General features: G+C 35.1%; 1 long non-coding RNA gene across 3 annotated transcripts in view; it reads left to right on the plus strand.

Annotated features, from left to right (window-relative positions):
• Window positions 1-3,949, plus strand: part of LINC02503 (long intergenic non-protein coding RNA 2503) — a 75,942-nt gene extending 71,993 nt beyond the window's left edge. For all 3 annotated transcript variants that reach the window (NR_186772.1, NR_186770.1, NR_186771.1), the window contains one exon: window positions 2,881-3,949. This is a non-coding gene — a long non-coding RNA (long intergenic non-protein coding RNA 2503). The remainder of the gene's footprint in view (window positions 1-2,880) is intronic.
• The last annotated feature ends 16,143 nt before the right edge of the window (window positions 3,950-20,092 follow it).

Genomic DNA, 20,092 nt, shown 5'->3' on the forward strand with positions numbered 1-20,092 from the left:
AAAATAGCTAAATAATGTATACACATGGACATACAGAGTGTGAAATAACAGCTATTGGATATTCAGGGAGGTGGGAGTGTGGGAGGGGGTGAGCGATGAGAAATTACTTTATGGGTACATTATTTGGGTGATGGTTACGCAAAAAGCCCAGACATCATCACTAGGCAATATATCCATGTAACAAACCGCCCTTGTACTCTTTAAATTTATGCAGATTAAAGAAATCAGGTAAATACAAGTAGAACAGATGAATGGAATGGTAGTGTAGCAGCACTGTACTAATTATGCATTCACTAACAATTCATGGCCTTGCCATCCACATTGTGTGTATACGAGTGTGTGTTTGCATATATGTACACACTTATTCTCTGGCTCTCTGAATTTTGCTTAATGTTATTGTCATCAGAGAGTTACAAACAGTTTTTTGTTTTTTTTAGCTGTATGGCAAAAGACAGAAAGGCACATTTTGTAGAAACCAATCAACAGGTTAAAAACATGTTCATAATATGCATTGGGTAGGTCTGTGTAGACATTTATGCAACTGTTTGAAATGATTTCAAAGAGCATGGCAGTCTATGAGCCCAGGAGACATTCGCTAAAATGAAACTTGTGTCCATCAACTGTACTTTACATGGACAGTTTATTGGGAAACTTTAAATAACATTTTCATTTATTTTATTGTTTTCTTATTTATTAAGGAGACTTCACAGAGCAGTAAAAAATCGAATCTCACACATCTTTCAATGTAGCCGTAGGGCCTAAGTCAATTTAGTAAGCCGGATAAAAACACATACACCAGAACTGGTTCAATAGTAGATATGCATGCAATAGATTTTAGTTTCCTTTATTACTCATAGGTTTCTATTTGGGGGTTGTAAAAGATAAATATTATAGAGAATGGAGTATGGTTGTCACTTGAAAAAGATTGAGATTATTCATTCATACTAACGTGAGTTACTGAGAGTGTTGATTTAAATAGATGGAGTTTCAAGAGTTCTTCCTCTTCTGCTCCATGAAATAACATAAAAAGAATTTAAGTTTTATGTTAATGTAGACTTGAAACATTCAATAAAAACCTCTTATTGTAAAAAATATTAATCAGGAGTTACTTCTACTGCATATGGATGTATTACACATAGAGTATTACTCAGAATCCCAGAATAGTGGCTCACAAATCAATCAATTATATCCATGTTTGGACATAATCTTGGCTGACCACTATCTGATGCATTATATGATACACAGAGCTATAGAAAGAAGAAATTACAAAGCCAATTACTTGACTATTAACGTTTCAATGAATTCTTAACTCCCTAAAAGGCTGATATTATTTTATGCTTTATTCCTCATTAGTGAAAATGAGAAATAGTGTATGTTGGAAAATCATGAATGACAGAAAATTTTATATAATTAAATGCTGATTTACCTGTAAAAAGTGACATGGGTGTGCTCAGATAATTAATCATGAAATTATTTGTCTCATAGAATATTGTCAATGATTTTGGATTGTCTCTTTTGGTCACACTAATGGAATTCCAAATAGGAGATATATCGTGACCTAGAAGGAGTTCAGATTGACAACTGTTAGAATAAATACATTGTTGATAGAAGAAAAATAAATAAGCAGAAAAAAAATTGGGCAACTTTGCTCTATTCCCCTCTTTCAGGCAAAATCCAATATGATATAGATTTTTGAGGACATATGTGATTAATAATTTTAACATAAAGATATTTATATATTTTAATTAGATGTTTCCCTTTTCTTGAGAGCTCTGAGAATTTAACATCCTAATGAGATTTGTAGGTATGTGCCCAGTCTCAGACACTGAAGGAGATTAGTTTGCCTGATTTCCAATGACAGCTTTTCACCAACTGAAACTGCCAATCATGCTTTTCTGAGGCTATGCTGCTGTGTGCACAACCTCTGATGGCTTCATAGTATGAAGATTCCAGTGGAAATGTGGTCAGGATCTTTGTGTGGTTTTCTCCATACCCATTCACTGGTTTGTCAGTTTGGTTGATAGTTCATTTCTCTTTGAAAAAAAAGATCAATTTCTAGAGGAAGTCAGATAATTGATTTGAAGAATTTACAAGAAGGCTTTTTAAGTTATAGTTTTTGCAGCTCAAGACTACTGTATTCTTGTGCACCAGTAAACCCGATTTTTCTCATAAATTTGTATAGGTAATAATTTCTAAGTACTTTTTCCAAAATCAGGGATTATCCCCTATCTTAGAGATAATATTCTAAGAACTCTAGTTATAGGAGGGAGGTGGGGGAAAGAGAAAAGAGAGAGAGAGAGAGAGAGAGAGAGAGAAACAACTCACAGAACTACAGAGAAACAGATGAAGAAATTATCTTCAAGCTTCCTTAAATCCTGCTCTAAATGACGTTTCTCTTATATCTGATATTAACTAAAGTCAAAGTATCTTAAATACCTTTCATTATCAGCTCAGCATGGGTTGCTCCACTGTGGTTTGAGGTATTATATGATTTCTGAGCATAAACTGAGCACTTCTTTACTCTGGAGTCAGCCTCTAATGAATTTTTCCATTCATTTTTCTTTAGAAGACCAACAAGATCTTTGCTGTTAGATCATAAGGGAGGCAATATTGGAGGCTAGTTGTCAATGGCTTTATTTCCCATTTTTATGTTGAAAATGCATCCTCATAATATATTCAAGTATTTCAGATTAAATCAAATGTCTTGTTTGTAGTAATGAGACATGTTAAAATATATTCTCACAGAAACCATGCAAATTTACATGGGAGCAGGCGGCTTTAGGGGGAAATGTTTTGCAGATTAAGAAATTTTTTATTATATTCTAATGTGGGTGTGGTGGAGAGTGTACTCACTTGGCACTCTTTTTTTTTTTTTTGAAGGCAGAAATAAAGATGTTCTTTGAAACCAACGAGAACAAAGACACAACATACCAGAATCTCTGGGACACATTCAAAGCAGTGTGTAGAGGGAAATTTATAGCACTAAATGCCCACAAGAGAAAGCAGGAAAGATCCAAAATTGACACCCTAACATCACAATTAAAAGAACTAGAAAAGCAAGAGCAAACACATTCAAAACCTAGCAGAAGGCAAGAAATAACTAAAATCAGAGCAGAACTGAAGGAAATAGAGACACAAAAAACCCTTCAAAAAATTAATGAATCCAGGAGCTGCTTTTTTGAAAGGATCAACAAAATTGATAGACCGCTAGCAAGACTAATAAAGAAGAAAAGAGAGAAGAATCAAATAGATGCAATAAAAAATGATAAAGGGGATATCACCACCGATCCCACAGAAATACAAACTACCATCAGAGAATACTACAAACACCTCTACACAAATAAACTAGAAAATCTAGAAGAAATGGATAAATTCCTCAACACATACACCCTCCCAATACTAAACCAGGAAGAAGTTGAATCTCTGAATAGACAAATAACAGGCTCTGAAATTGTGGCAATAATCAATAGCTTACCAACCAAAAAGAGTCCAGGACCAGATGGATTCACAGCCGAATTCTACCAGTGGTACAAGGAGAAACTGGTACCATTCCTTCTGAAACTATTCCAATCAATAGAAAAAGAGGGAATCCTCCCTAACTCATTTTATGAGGCCAGCATCATCCTGATACCAAAGCCGGGCAGAGACACAACCAAAAAAGAGAATTTTAGACCAATATCCTTGATGAACATTGATGCAAAAATCCTCAATAAAATACTGGCAAACTGAATCCAGCAGCACATCAAAAAGCTTATCCACCATGATCAAGTGGGCTTCATCCCTGGGATGCGAGGCTGGTTCAATATATGCAAATCAATAAATGTAATCCAGCATATAAACATAACCAAAGACAAAAACCACATGATTATCTCCATAGATGCAGAAAAGGCCTTTGACAAAATTTGGCACTCTTGTTCTTTCAAATAAATCTTTTTTCCTACCCTGCTGACTCTTTGAATCATATCACCAGTTGACTTCAACTAATGGGGATCACTAGCAAGAGATTGGAAGGTAGGAAGAGAAGGAGATTTGGAGATTTCTTACCCACTTTTTTTTTTTTTTTGACTTTGGAGGCTCACTTCTGGCAGTATCTGCATTCGTTCATGACTACAGATCTTGCCAGCCAGCCACTCTCCCAGGTTCCAGCCCTTACTGGGTTTCAGGAACACGATTTTCTCCTATTGCCCATTCAGAACTAGAAGAAGCATTTCTCTACTGTTGCTGATCTCTGCTTGCTACAGTAGCTCTTGTTGACTTCTTGAATCCTGCCAAAACCTCTGTAAATTGCCCTTTGTGAATGTCTCTTAATTTGAATCACCTGATTTGAATTCGTTTTCTGTTAGGGCCCTGACTAATGATAATAACAATAATATTAACACTAATAGGCAGGTTTTATAGAATGTGTACAACATGTTAGACATTGTGCTAAATGTTTTTATATGTGCTATTTAATTGAAACTTTGAAAATTCTTAGGTGATAGACATTATTATCTTTATTTTATAGAGATTAAGTTGAGGTTTAGAAAGGGCATCATTGCCCAAGTTCTCTCCAGCTAATTAGGGAGCATCAGGACTCAACCTAAAATGTCTGACTCTGAAGCTTGTACTTTTAACCCCTCTGCAATGCTGCTTAATATGTGAGACTTTCAAGATTGTGCTCTGGTTTACTACTGGCAAATCTAAATCTCTGAAGGGTGTTCTGTAACCAGATAAATAAGAAAAAAGTAGTATTTTGTTTAATTCCACAAATATTTACTAAATCGTTACTATATGTTCAGCATTATTCTAGGGCTTAAAAATGTGAAGATAAAAATGCTCTGCTTCCAGATACATTTATAGTTTGATAGGAGCATTAGACACCATAAACACATACATTCAATAATGTTTTACAAGTAAAGTATAAATATTTACAAGCTACAGAGTAAGAATATTGGAGCAGAATGGTGTGTCCCTGTTAACTCTTCAGGATTTCATATTCAGTTAGTCAAATGATGTGTATTCACTATGGAATTCCAGCACACTGAGCTTAACCATACTTACTCCATGCATTCACAGTGTTTCACATTCTCTTGTTGGAGGAAACAGTCATGTGATTACCTTTGTCAATCAAATGCTCATTTGTCTGTCTCTTATCAAATTCTTTATTTATAGACTGGCATTCTTTGTGGATTCAAATATTAGAATTTATAGACTTATAAAATTCAACTTGGCCAACATCCCAATTATACTTAGAGAGAATAAAAAATAGAATAACAGATAATAGTCTATTTTTTTTTCTTCTGGATTCATTTTCCTCTGTGCTGATGTTAAAGTACTAAGAGTTTAGTAGATTACAAGTATCAAATTTTGTCTAATATAAAATTCATAGATTATAAGTTGCACCAGTATTTACATATCCCTAAGAAAGAAATGGTGTTGACATTAATGTTTAACACAGTGCTTTCTTATTACTTAAAACTTGCATTTTTGTATTTATTGAAATAGTAATTTTAGGATTAAATATTTTTACAAAAGTAACAGCTGTGGATATATATAAAAGGAAAATGTAAACAAAATAATTTGGTTAAGACATTTATAATTTCTTCCCATTAAGAGATTGGGCTTTGTGAATTTACTTTTTTACTTAGTCATCACTGTCCTTATTTCACCACACAAGTTTTGAAGTTTGAACTTATTTTTCTTATTTCTAAAATAGTGATAATAATAGCATCATCTCCCATGGGGTTGTTGGAAGTGTTAGGTGAAATGAGACATGCAAAGTGGTTAGCATACTGCATGGTACACAATAAACAATACTATTAGTTATTAATTTGTTCTTGTTTTTCTTATCGTATTCTCTTCAAGTCAGCATTTGATAAATGGTGAAAACAAAATAAAAGTGGTGAAGACAAAAATCTTTTAGTAGGCAGGTAGTCATTTTGTCTCACTATTCCTCACCTGCTTGCTCTAGATTATAAACAGTTTTGTCTTGAGAGCTACAACTAAGATGAGGCCAGCTGCTTGATTCTGGTTAAGTCCATAACTTCTCTAAGTCTGAAATTGCTGCTTTGTAAAAAATCATATCCTTGATGAACATTGATGCAAAAATCCTCAATAAAATACTGGCAAACTGAATCCAGCAGCACATCAAAAAGCTTATCCACCATGATCAAGGGGGCTTCATCCCTGGGATGCAAGGCTGATTCAACATACAAAAATCAATAAACGTAATCCAGCATATAAACAGAACCAAAGACAAAAGCCACATGATTATTTCAATAGATGCAGAAAAGGCCTTTGACAAAATTCAACAACGCTTCATGTTAAAAACTCTCAATAAATTAGGTATTGATGGGATGTATCTCAAAATAATAAGTGCTATCTATGACAAACCCACAGCTAATATCATACTGAATGGACAAAAACTGGAAGCATTCCCTTTGAAAACCGGCACAAGACAGGGATGCCCTCTCTCACCACTCCTATTCAACATAGTGTTGGAAGTTCTGGCCAGGGCAATCAGGCAGGAGAAGGAAATAAACGGTATTCAATTAGGAAAAGAGGAAGTCAAATTGTCCCTGTTTGCAGATGACATGATTGTATATCTAGAAAACTCCATCGTCTCAGCCCCAAATCTCCTTAAGCTGATAAGCAACTTCAGCAAAGTCTCAGGATACAAAATCAATGTACAAAAATCACAAGCATTCTTATACACCAATAACAGACAAACAGAGAGCCAAATCATGAGTGAACTCCCACTCACAACTGCTTCAAAGTGAATAAAATACCTAGGAATCCAACTTACAAGGGATGTGGAGGACCTCTTCAAGGAGAACGACAAACCACTCCTCAATGAAATAAAAGAGGATACAAAGAAATGGAAGAACATTCCGTGCTCATGGGTAGGAAGAATCAATATCGTGAAAATGGCCATACTGCCCAAGGTAATTTATAGATTCAATGCCATCCTCATCAAGCTACCAATGACTTTCTTCACAGAATTGGAAAAAACTACTTTAAATTTCATATGGAACCAAAAAAGGGCCCACATTGCCAAGTCAATCCTAAGCCAAAAGAACAAAGCTGGAGGCATCACACTAGCTGACTTCAAACTATACTACAAGGCTACAGTAACCAAAACAGCATGGTACTGGTACCAAAACAGAGATATAGACCAATGGAACAGAACAGAGCCCTCAGAAATAATGCCGCATATCTACAAATATCTGATCTTTGACAAACCTGACAAAAACAAGCAATGGGGAAAGGATACCCTATTTAATAAATGGTGCTGGGAAAACTAGCTAGCCATATGTAGAAAGCTAAAACTGGATCCCTTCCTTACACCTTTTACAAAAATTAATTCAAGATGGATTAAAGACTTACATGTTAGACCTAAAACCATAAAAACCCTAGAAGAAAACCTAGGCAATACCATTCAGGACATAGGCATGGGGAAGGACTTCATGTCGAAAACACCAAAAGCAATGGCAACAAAAGCCAAAATTGACAAATGGGATCTAGTTAAACTAAAGAGCTTCTGCACAGCAAAAGAAACTACCATCAGAGTGAACAGGCAACCTACAGAATGGGAGAAAATTTTCGCAACCTACTCATCTGACAAAGGGCTAATATCCAGAATCTACAATGAACTCAAACAAATTTACAAGAAAAAAACAAACAACCCCATCAAAAAGTGGGCAAAGGATATGAACAGACACTTCTCAAAAGAAGACATTTATGCAGCCAAAAAACACATGAAAAAATGCTCATCATCACTGGCCATCAGAGAAATGCAAATCAAAACCACAATGAGATACCATCTCACACCAGTTAGAATGGCGATCATCAAAAAGTCAGGAAACAGCAGGTGCTGGAGAGGATGTGGAGAAATAGGAACACTTTTTCACTGTTGGTAGGACTGTAGACTAGTTCAAGCATTGTGGAAGTCAGTGTGGCAATTCCTCAGGGATCTAGAACTAGAAATACCATTTGACCCAGCCGTCCCATTACTGGGTATATACACAAAGGATTATAAATCATGCTGTTATAAAGACACATGCACACGTATGTTTATTGCGGCACTATTCACAATAGCAAAGACTTGGAACCAACCCAAATGTCCAACAATGATAGACTGGATTAAGAAAATGTGGCACATATACACCATGGAATACTATGCAGCCATAAAAAATGATGAGTTCATGTCCTTTGTATGGACATGGATGACGCTGGGAACCATCATTCTCAGCAAGCTATGGCAAGGACAGAAAACCAAACACCACATGTTCTTACTCATCGGTGGGAATTGAACAATGAGAACACATGGACACAGGAAGAGGAACATCACACACCGGGGCCTGTTTTGGGGTGGGGAGAGTGGAGAGGGATAGCATTAGGGGATATACCTAATGCTAAATACCGACTTACTGGGTGCAGCACACCAACATGGCACATGTATACATATGTAACAAACTTGCACGTTGTGCACATGTACCCTAAAACTTAAAGTAGAATAATAATAAAATTTAAAAAAAATCAGGATAATAAACATTATCCCAAATAATTATCTATTATAAATATGAATTTCATAAATATTGGTTGAATGTGTCTTAAGTCTCTTTTGAAAGAGAAGAACACAGAAATATTCATTTCCCAGAAAAACCATACATTGTTTCCTGGAGCCTCAAAATAAAGACTCGTTAAGGAAAATAATAGGATTTTAATGTCTTTTTTCCCCTGCACTCTCTAGTTAGATGCCAATCGTTAGCATGTCAAAAGTCATTTTCCTTGTGTAACCTCTGTGATCAAGGGGCAGTGCCTGTGGTAAAAAGCACATTCTAAGATGCAAATCACAATGTTCTAAGCAATGGCAAACAATATTCAGATAAGCTTTTGCATTGCTTCTTCCAGTTCAGAGGATCTGAGGGTTGCTGTTGTGCCTCCTGATGCAGTCAGTTACCTGAAAGTGTGAAGTTCATATTTTGCCCTGGTGCCCCTCACCAACGATGATGAGTAATGCACTAATCGTTCCCCAAATCTTACATGTTCAAAGTTCACTTGAGTATAGGAGGGTGGCATGTATGAGCTCTGAATTGATTTTTCTCATGTTTAGGCTAGGAAAATGATTTTTCAGCAAAATTGACTCCACTTTACAATTTTCCCTTCCATAATTTACAGTGCTTTTATTTTTTCCCTTAAAAATAAGTAATTTCATTTTCTCCTTCTTTGATTGCTTTAAAAAATAGTGACCTGTTACTTAAAAATTAGTGCAAATTTGGAAAAGCCATCTCTTCCCTTTTTATATTCATCCACCCACATTTCTTCCATTTTTCATTACCTTTAGGCAGACAATTAAACAAATACATAAATAAAAATCCTCTACCCTGATAACAGTTATTTGACAAATATTTTACCAGGAATATTTTCATTCATAGGTAAATACATAAAGAGACAAACGATGTGTAATATGCATTTTAGTTTCATCTCCTTATTTTCTAAATTTAGAGCACATTATTTATTTTAGGCCACAAAAGTCTAGTATTTTCTGTTGTGACTACTTTATCCTCTTGCCTTGGGATGGTTATTTAAAAATAGCTATTTCTTATTATGAATGGGTATCTACGGAAATAACTAAGGGCTTTAAAAGGATTACTGATAGAAATGAAGTGAATGCATGTGTAAATATCACATAGCAGCACCTAAACATTTTCCTGACTATCATCTGAGTGAAATAAAATTTCAAGGAAATCTCAGGTGATTTTAGAGATGCTGTCAGAATTTTTTTGGTCTTTTATTCACTATACAGCAATATAAAATTCTCTCCATTGAACTTTTTTACTTTTGAAGTGTGAACATCAGTATATTTCCATGGAGGATAAAAAGGACTTTAAAAATTTCAGTTGGGCCTTGCTTTAGAGGTTGCATTCTCTATAAACTCACAAGGCAGGAATATAATACTTATTTATATTAACTGACAGGGAGTTTCTGATTTAACAAATATAATGTATTATTCTTTTAATATCAGCACTTGCTGTACATAAGCATTGTTTAAAAGTAATTTATATTTCTATAAAAGTACCAGGATGGAGACATAATGTGGCAGATAAATCTGAAACTAAAATTTTAGGGGTAAGTGATGTTCTAAAATCAATCAGAAATATTCATAAGGTTTCATGCATAAAATAAGTCAACTTTAGCTACTGTAATTTAATTTACAAAAATAATTTGCAGTCATGTTTAGTCAGTTAATCTACTTGTTATAAAAATATGCCACTAACTGAATTATGCAAATAACTCATTCATATAACTCCTGGATGAAATCATTTACCAGGTATATCCAACTTACTCTACTATAATAAGATTACCACACTTTTTCTGTTGTGGTTTTTAACATTTTTTATTTGATAGAATCCTCCTACTTTGATTTTCTGCACTGATCTGTTTTTGTTCTCTATAATATCCTTCATTTTATATTTATCTGACTTCTAATTTTAGCTCATAGTTTCTTTAAACTGGTAGTGATATCCAGAGGCTTTAGTAGATTTAAGATAAACTTGGGGGATAAATATGTTCTAAAGGTGGTTATGAGTATTTCCTACTACCTGAATTTATAAGATACATATCTCTATGTATCAAACTTAGAAATTGTTTTAGTTTTATCTTCCATTGTAAATGTCCTTATCAGTATTTCACTCTAATGATTTGTAACTTCAGACATTTTTAAAACAATCATTTCATTCGGGTCTACAAATGATTAGTTTCTAAACTAAAGTTTTCCTTGTATTTTTTTTAGGAAGAATTCTTTTTGTGTAGCTACTTTTGGCTCTAAAATGAGGGTGTCCAAGCAAGCTGTCATCTCTACACCCCACAGAAAACCAAAACAAATATACAGCACTGAGATTTTACTAGCAACAACCTAGAACTCAAACGTGAGAATGGGGCTAGGGCCACAGAGAAGTGAAAAAATAAATAAATAAATAAATAAATAAATAAATAAATAAATAAAAAGAAAAACACCGATAAGTTAGGAGAATCTGGCTTCACAGCCACAATTTTATGCGACAAGCTTGTGGAAAATTTTTCCCAGCTCATGGTTTCTATGCTGGAAAAAGTGAGTTTGAGGGGTTCAACCAGCTTTCCTCTCATCTTAGGTTCCCTGGCAGACTTGTCTCATATATACTTTGATGGCCTCTTTCTTTCAGAACATCAGTAAACCATTCAATTAAGATATACTTCCCTTGGACATGATGAGAAGGAAAGAGCATCTTCTCTAGACACATTAATAATATACATGTGTGCCAGAGGCAAGGAGACGAACGACACATAAATTGTGGTCTGCCGCTACAGTGAAATTTCTGTAGTCCAAGTGTCTGGGGCACGTTGAGATATGACTTCCAAATATAGTTGGTGTATCTGGAAATGGGTTGATACTTACAGAATTTATTGATTTCTCATGCTCTGCAGCACCCTATAGAGAGAGCATAATGCAACAGTGAAAAGGCCTTTAGAAGACTGAGTTACTGGGCCAGCTGCCTGCATCACTTGGTGGGGCTGGAATGATGTTCCCTAGGGTGCAGTCTATGTTGTAAATCAGTGAACTAATATTTGGCTTTCTTTCTCCCATAGCAGATACTCATAACTCAGGAAAAAGGGGCTAAAATTGAGGGCTATTCGCTCACTCTTATCCCTAGTAAATGAATATCAGTGAAACTTGCACTTTCTATCCTCATGTCTTTGGGTTCTGCTGCTTGATAAGTCTAGTTCCCTCCCAAGGGATGACTACTTCCACCAGGGAGCACGACAATTGTTTCATTAAACTTGAAGTTGAGATTGCCATTTGGCCACTTTAAGATTCTCATTATAGTAAATCCACTGACAAAGAAAAGCGTTACTGTACTCTCTTGGAAAATTGACCCTGACTCTTAAGGAGAAATTAAGTTGCTACTATGGGATCAGGAGACACATGTCTGGAATGAAGTAGATACCCTGGATGTTCTCATGTTCTCTATACAGCAAATGGATAAATACAACTCAATAAAAGCAGGACTGCTAAAGACTAGACCTTTCAAAAATGAAGGCTTGTGTCAACCTCCTAGGCAGGAAACCATGACCTACTAAGGAGCTGGCTGAGAATAAAGAAAATATGGAAGTGTCAAATTATACACATCAGCTATGCCTTAGTACCTATGAGTATTTATTTCTTCCTCATTTTAATGTGAATATGTGTGTGTGACTCACCATTTTCTTTTTTAAAATTCTGTACTCCTGCAATAAGTATAGCATAAAGCATGTTGACAGTACTTAACCTTATTCAACATTTAAAGTGTCCCTCAGATAGACGTGGACATTCAAAAGTGTTAAAGAGCCCAGCCAACATCACAAGAGCTGCCTACCTGATGCACTGCTGGCCAGAGATGTAAGAATAAGCTCAGCAGAAATCAAAAGAGCCACCTGATACATAGACTTCTGAGTGCTAAAAACTGGTTGTTCTTTTAAGCCACTCAGTGTTGAAGTGGTCTGTTCATCCCAATAGCTAACTGATAAGAAATCCAGCAATGGACAGTGTTAAGGAGGAGTGTATACAGAGGAGGGTGATTGACCGGGCAAGAGGTCCAGAAATCAAGCTGTATAGAATAGATTGAAAGGATAAGTACATTTGTCATAGAAAGAAGGAATTTTAGGAAGGATATAGTGGCTCTCTCAACATAATTGATGAGCTGTCAGTAAAAGGGGGCTATATTTACCCAGCATAAACTCAGAAGGCAAAATGGTAAACACTAGCAGATATTAGATGGCAGGAGATATTGAAACAGAACTATATAAATTGCAGAACTAGCTCAAATTTATATATCAAGGATTGTGCTTTACAATGCAGTCAGTTTTCTGTCACTGGAAATGTTCACACATAGAAAGGATGACCTTTTGACAGGGCTGTTTTGAAAGGAAGTTTCTAGTTTGGTTTAGAATTTTGACTAGGTGACATATAAGATGGCTTCTAACCTCAAAATCTTATGTTTGATGAGAATTTATTTTAGCTTTTTAAATTAAATATACCTTTCATAATTATCAGTATTCAAAAAATTTATATTACTTAAATGTCAAGTATATAATTGTTTGGTCTTTTATTTATTTAATTTGAATTGATGACATTGCCCACATTCTGAGTAAAATAGTCTGAAAAGCTATCCACTGCCTTACCAGCAATATAGCTCTTTGAGAAAGTGTGTTGCATTCCAAAAATTTTACTTTAAAAGAAACTTTTGAAATAACTGGTTTAGAAACCTATGGCAATTACAATTCATGAAGAGATAAGGATAACAAGAGAAATTTATTATTTTTCTTTTATTGAAAAAGTATCTACTGATTTTCTCTTTGTTAGGTACTGTTCTAAGTACCAAAGATGTTTCAGTAAACAAGTGAAAGCCTATCTTCCAAAGAGGAGGAAAACAATCAACAAATATTAATGCCATGTAATGTAAGAGGGTGATGGTGCTAAAAAGAAAAATAAAGCAGGGTAAAGGGAGATAGATTTATCTCCTAGGTGTGTAATCAGAGAAATGCTCTGGGGGAAATTCTCTGTGTTTATGTTAAATGCCATATAAACAACAGGAGAGATGGATTACTAGACAGATGAAAAATCTCTTGGGAAAGAAGCTTTACTAGGCATATTCAAAGAAATGCAAGAAAGACAATGTGGTGTAATTAAATAAGGAAAATGAAAGAATTAGAAAACATTATAATAGGCAGTGGCTAGATCACACAAAGATTATAGTTCATGGTAAGGACTTCATATTTTATTTACAGTATGCCATAAAGCTATTGGAAAGTTGAGACTAGGTGCTTGGCATGGTGTGTATTATATTTCACAATACCTACTGTTTTGTCTTTGGGGACAATAAGCTATGGCTGAAATCGAGTGAGGGAGTGGAGCTCATTGGCCTTGGCCCTATTGCTCTCATGTACATTTCTCTCCTTTCCCAAGTTCTATTGTCTATCATTAGAGGAAGATGAACCTTTAGTACTGCATTTCGCAGCCTCTCTTATGAAATAACTGGATGAAATACTGGCAGAAAACTGACAGGTGGATGGAAGAGAGAAGACAGGCCATATTTTATCTTATTTATTTCTGTCTTTTCATTGATTCTGAGCCTGAGAGACTTACTGTGGTTCTGCTTTCACTGGACATCAGCAACAAGTATAGTTTTGGGATCTGGTTGGTTCCTGTCTTTAAACTTCTAGTTTATGGGGAATTGTCTAGAGTGATTTCTGTTGGTCTAGTTGGACCCTGACCAAAACAAGAGGCAAAAGCAGAAGCAGGGATATTGTCACGGGTCCATGGCAGTAATCTAAACAACAGAAGAGGGTAATTGAGCAAGTTATCATAACAGCAATGGGCAAGGTAAAAAGCGATACCACTTGCGGTCTCCCGGATGAAGAACCAACAGGGCATGTTAAAGGATTGGATGAGTGTTGTGATAGAAGAAAAGAAATAAAACATCTTTAAGGTTTAGTTTGAAAAATTAGATTAAAGGCAATACCATTGGTAGAAGATATAGGAACGATCAAAGAAAGGCAGATTCATTCACAGGGAAGGAATATGAATCAAGAGTACTGTTTGGTAGAATTTGACATTGACATGACTATTTTATATCTATGTAGAGGGTCAAGTAAAAAGTTAAATATACAAATGCAGAGTTTAGGGGAGCACTTCAATTAGAGACATATTGGATGGGTGGGTAGGATTATTGGTGTAGTAAAGTCATAGAATTTGGAGAGATTACTTGGGAACTGATTATAGAGAAGAAGCAATATCTGAAGACTAAGCCCTAATGCACTCCAATATTTAAAAATTGGAGAGAGAGAGAGAGAGAAAGAGAGAGAAGAAACTATCACAGAAACTAAAAAGGCAAAACCATGAAGTAAGAGGGAAAAGAGAAGAGTAGTTTTTAGAAGTGAAGAAAGCTTTTCAAGATGAGATATCCAATGCATTTTATGTGTCATTTATAATATCATGTCATTTCATCCTCCCTTCCTTCTTTCCTTCCTTTCTTTCCTCTCTTCTGTCTTGCTGCCTTCCTTCCCTTCCTGACTCTCTCCTCTCTCTCTCTTCCTTCCTTATTGCTTTCCTTGTTTTATTCAGTCATTTAACCAATATTTATTGAAAGCCTGATAGGGGCACTATACTACTTAATTCTAGTCTCGGATATAGAAGGCCTTCAATAAAATCTCTCTCTCTCTGTTTTTTTTTTTTTTTTTTTTTTCTTGAGTTGGAGTTTCGCTCTTATTGCCCAGGCTGGAGTCCAATGGCATGAGCTTGGCTCACCACAACCTCCGCCTCCCGAGTTCAAGGACTTCTCCTGCCTCAGCCTCCCCAGTAGCTGAGATTACAGGCATGTGCCACCACACCCGGCTAATTTTGTATTTTTAGTAGAGACAGGGTTTCTCCGTGTTGGTCAGGCTAGTCTCAAACTCCTGACCTCAGGTGATCCACTCGCCTTGGCCTCCCAAAGTGCTGGGATTACAGGCATGAGCCACTATGCCCAGCCTAAGATCTCTTAATAGTAGCCCATTGGAAAAGACCCAATTTTTCCAGACTGTTCATTTTATAAAGAATCATAAAGTTCATGTTTAGAAAACAAAGCATGTTAACCTGGAAAACGAATCCATTATTCTACATTTTAGTAAAATAATGAGTTTTACACTTTATTTCAAACTTTATGTACACTTACACATACAAGTAATAAGCATATATGCATAAATATGTTGCATTCAATTTTATCATATTTATTTAAAATAGTTTACAATGAGAATTTTAAAAACATGTTTTCTCATGTAGCGATTTTGACATTTTATTTTTCTGCTTGGAAGTGGCAAATGCTCTACTTTAGAGCCTCTTATTTCTTTGCGCATGTAAATACATTCCAAAGGTTAAATTTAAAAAGTTAGCTCCTTGCAATTGGCTTAGAAGAAAGCTAAACCTATACCTTCCATACATCTCCTTCACAGACTGTTTTGCTTTTCCTTCTTTTAGGACTGAACATGTGGCCTGCATTTTTCTCATTCATAACCAAGATTCACCTCTAAAGTAGAAAAATATCCAGAATATGAGTTGAGTCTAATTCTTCTTAAAATCGAAGACAGTTAAGCTCCAAGGTTAAAATTGGTAAGCTCAGGAAATCCTAAGTGTAAACATCACCTTTCAGTCACCTACAAATCATCTCCTGCTCCTTTTTCTCTGAAATGCAGGATTGCAGCCTCACTGCAAATTTTCTTTCTAAATTAAGCAGCACATTTCAGGTATCTAAGAAGCAGCTGAGTGAGGCAAGGGATTTTTAAACTGGATTCCACTCAAAATTGCTACTGCTCATTACATTTTCACAAGTGGGGGTGAGAATTTCAGAGTTTAATGAAGGTCACGAAAACAAGAAAATGTAGCAGCAAAATAGGACGAGGTTTTAGAGTAAAAATTAGGAGAATTAAAAAATGAAATATGCTATTAAAATTCTACATTTTAAATTTTTATTTTCCTCAGCATAATTATAAACTTCAATTGACAAATGAGATATAAGAAGCAGACTGAGTGCTGTAATATAATTGGATTTAACTACAGAGCGTAATATAGACTTTTCATCTTCAACCTTATTCTAACCTTTAAAAGCTTACATTTGTAATTTTATACTCTGTAGTCACTAGGATTTGGATTTTAATGCAGCAGAAAAGACAAGAATCAAGCCTTAGTATTAACCTACTATTAGTCCATAGGAACAGCCAAACTTCCTGAATAAAATACAAAATGTATATTTAAGTATGTCATTTCATTTTTATTTTTTTCTGTAGACTAAATTATGACATATATTTTAGTCTTTTAATAACAATAAGTTCTACTGTGGCTAAATTTATTTCTAAAGTATGTGTACCTAGATTGTGGGTAGAAAAATTCAATCTGTAGAAGATTTTAGTCACCTCAGACTAAAAAACAAAAACAAAAATCGTGATGGCTATATTTAGCTAGGTTGAAAAAATCAGCCAAAAATAAATCTTCCCCCCAATTCCTTTATTAAATGCTATATCTAACAGAAAACAAGAAGACCTTTTGTAAGGCTTTCCATCTGCTTAATTTACCAAGGTAGTAATGATTTATGTTAAATGACCTCCAATGAAGTTCAATGAGCAAAGAATCAAGATTAAGCTATGATGGAAGGAAAACAAGGAGGGCAGGGGATAGAAAATACAAAGTCTCATAAATACCTGGAAAAATGAGATAAACACATTCATATTGCTATCGTATATTAAGAAATTAACGCATTCTGAGATGACATGGATATGCCCTGTTCAGTATGCTCTGAGGTTTGAAATTCAACCACAATGTGAGAGTTACCTATCTTCTACCCTTGGAACCCAGTGGTTTTTACCCACTGATTATGCCCAAACACTAGAGAAGAAAGTTGGCTGCTTTCAGATGTTTAAGGGGAAAGGGAAACGTACATGTAAGCACTGAGTGTCCTAACTGGCACACTCTAAGATGGCTCCCAGTGATCCCTCCTTCCTTTGATTCACACCTTTGTGTAATCATTTGCCTTGAGGTGGCAGGATTTGGTGACTTACTTCTAGTGAATTGGACACAGCAGAGTTGACTGGATGTCAATTCAATGAACATGTCCTGCAATAGATTGTGCTTCCGTGTTGGGTTTTTTCTCTTCAAATTCACTTTCTGGGGGAAGCCAACTACCATGATGCAAGTAGCCCTATGAAGAAGGCCTGATGGCAAAGAGCTGAAACCCCCAGGCATCAGCTAGTGAGTACTTGAGACCTGCGAACAACCATCTGAGTGAACTTCAAAGTGGATTCCCCTCCAGTTGAGAATTAAGATGACTTCCAGCCACAGGTAACACCATGATCAAAGCCTTGTAAGAAACTCAAAGCAGAAAACACTCATCTAAGCCACACCTGGATTCTTGACTCACAGAATTTGTAGCTGCTGGTTTTCAGGTAATTTTTTCACAGCAATACATAATAACTTTAGTATCTTTTCAGATTCTCCATATAGAATTTCCCATCCTACTCTTATTTGATAAAATGTGGTATCTACCTCCATTAACCCACGATTATGTAAGATAATTATTTTATAATAAAGATACTGAAATATTGCCTACTTGAAACAGTAACTCATTCATTTCTTAGGCACTATTTTTTTTAACTTTCTGTTAAAGAACTCTGTGAAAACAAGTATTTGTTTCTGATTTTTGGGTCCCATTTTCTTCCTTTAAATCTACCGAATCCAGCAATCCAGGGAAGTCATTGAATTCAACTGTCAAGTAAGACGTATTTGTGTTTTCTTAAGTTGAAGTCTGATTGCTTTATTAGCAATGGGAGTTTATGATGAACATATTTTTCCATTAAAGTAAGGAAATGTGATACAAAATGTGATGGAGTGATCTCAGGTAAAGATATTAGAGTATTTTTGAATAGAATACGCCTCAGCAAATACAGTTCTTCCTTCTTTATTTTTTAAATCTATGATATTATTTGTTACTTACTTGGGATATTACTATTTATCTCAGAAAGAGATATTCCTTAGATACTTAAGCTGAACGTCTTGGTGACAGAAAACGTTGATTAGTATGATAGAAAATGAGGATTATTTTCTAACTTCAATTGTGTAGATGTAAAATCTTTTTAATGGAAGAGAATAATTATTCATTATGGTGGCAAATTTGCTCAGAGGAGAAAATATTTTATCAGCAGACAAACTGACTCATGGCATAATCCTCTAACTACAAGGTACCCCAGAGGGGAGGGTAGAGGCATATTAAATCAGAACTTGGTATCCAACTATATAATGGCTGGATATCGCCTGTCTATTATTTTTAGTTTCCTTATCCCATGGCTTTTCCTTAATCCTTTTAAATTGAAAATTATTCTTATATTAAAAAATAAAATGTTCCATAATACAGGAAGGAAAATAGATTACTGAATTAGACAATAAATGGTAGTTTTAACTACGAACTAAGTAACTCAGATTTATTGAGCAGCTACAGACAGACACAATGTATTAAGTCATTCAGTCCCACAACATTCAGAGGCTTTGAGAGGTAAAGGGCCTTGTCAATACTATACAGTTTATAAAATATAAGAGCCAGTGTTCAAATCTGGTGGATTTGGCAAAATCTAAATCTAGATTGTTTGGTAAAATCTAAATCCTATATTCTTTCCAGAATACCATATTTCATATTTTGCCTTGTATGTACTTTAAACATTTACTCTAAAAGTCTTTCAACTAATATTATCAGGGTCTTTTTAGTAAAAGAGATATGCTTTTTGCTCTAAAACTGTTTTTGCTAAGGGATAGAAGTGTGGAGTTTGCTAAGCTCTAAAATAAAATAGTAGCATTACCAAATTATCTGAGTTTTTCCAAAATATTTTACCAGATATTTAAAACAGCCGTATAATTAGACTAGAGACTTCTCAGGTCATGAAAGAATTTTTTTCTGGATAACTATAGTCCTTAATTGAATAATATGATAAATGAAAATTGATACGCTTAATTTTACATAGTTGTATTATCATCCCTACATCTTTGCCCTCCAGACACTTGGTCTCCTAAGATAGCCAGCTAATTACCAGGTCTCCTTGTGGTGCCTTATCCAGGCTAGTCTTCCTTGAACATCACCTCTTCCTCTCAACCTTTCCCATGCTCTTCCATGCAGTAGTGTTCTCTGGACAATTTCTGCAACTGCAAAATGATCTGATAAACAAATTTTTGGTTCGATATTACTATGTAACCCTTGATTAATTGAGACATGTATTACTCTCCTGAGAATATTGGCATTTGAGCAGAGAATACTGAGGATACAATGTGCAATCTAAGAATGGCTGTCTAATCAGGCAACTTGTAAGAAGTTTCTTTTTTTTTTTTCTTGCAGAAAGATCTTTTTTGCACCTGTACCACAAATCAAATAATGTAGAATGTTTAAAAGTAAAGATAAAACGATCCTTTTATATTATTTAGTTCAACCATCTTAGTGCACAAAGGGGAAAAAATGTCCAAAGTCCCACACTTAGTGGTCATTCCAGCACTTGAGTTTTGATTACAAATTCAATGTGCTTTTCC

Source organism: Homo sapiens, chromosome 4 (genome assembly GCF_000001405.40).
Source record: "Homo sapiens chromosome 4, GRCh38.p14 Primary Assembly".
In the NCBI taxonomy this organism is placed as follows: Eukaryota; Metazoa; Chordata; class Mammalia; order Primates; family Hominidae; genus Homo; species Homo sapiens.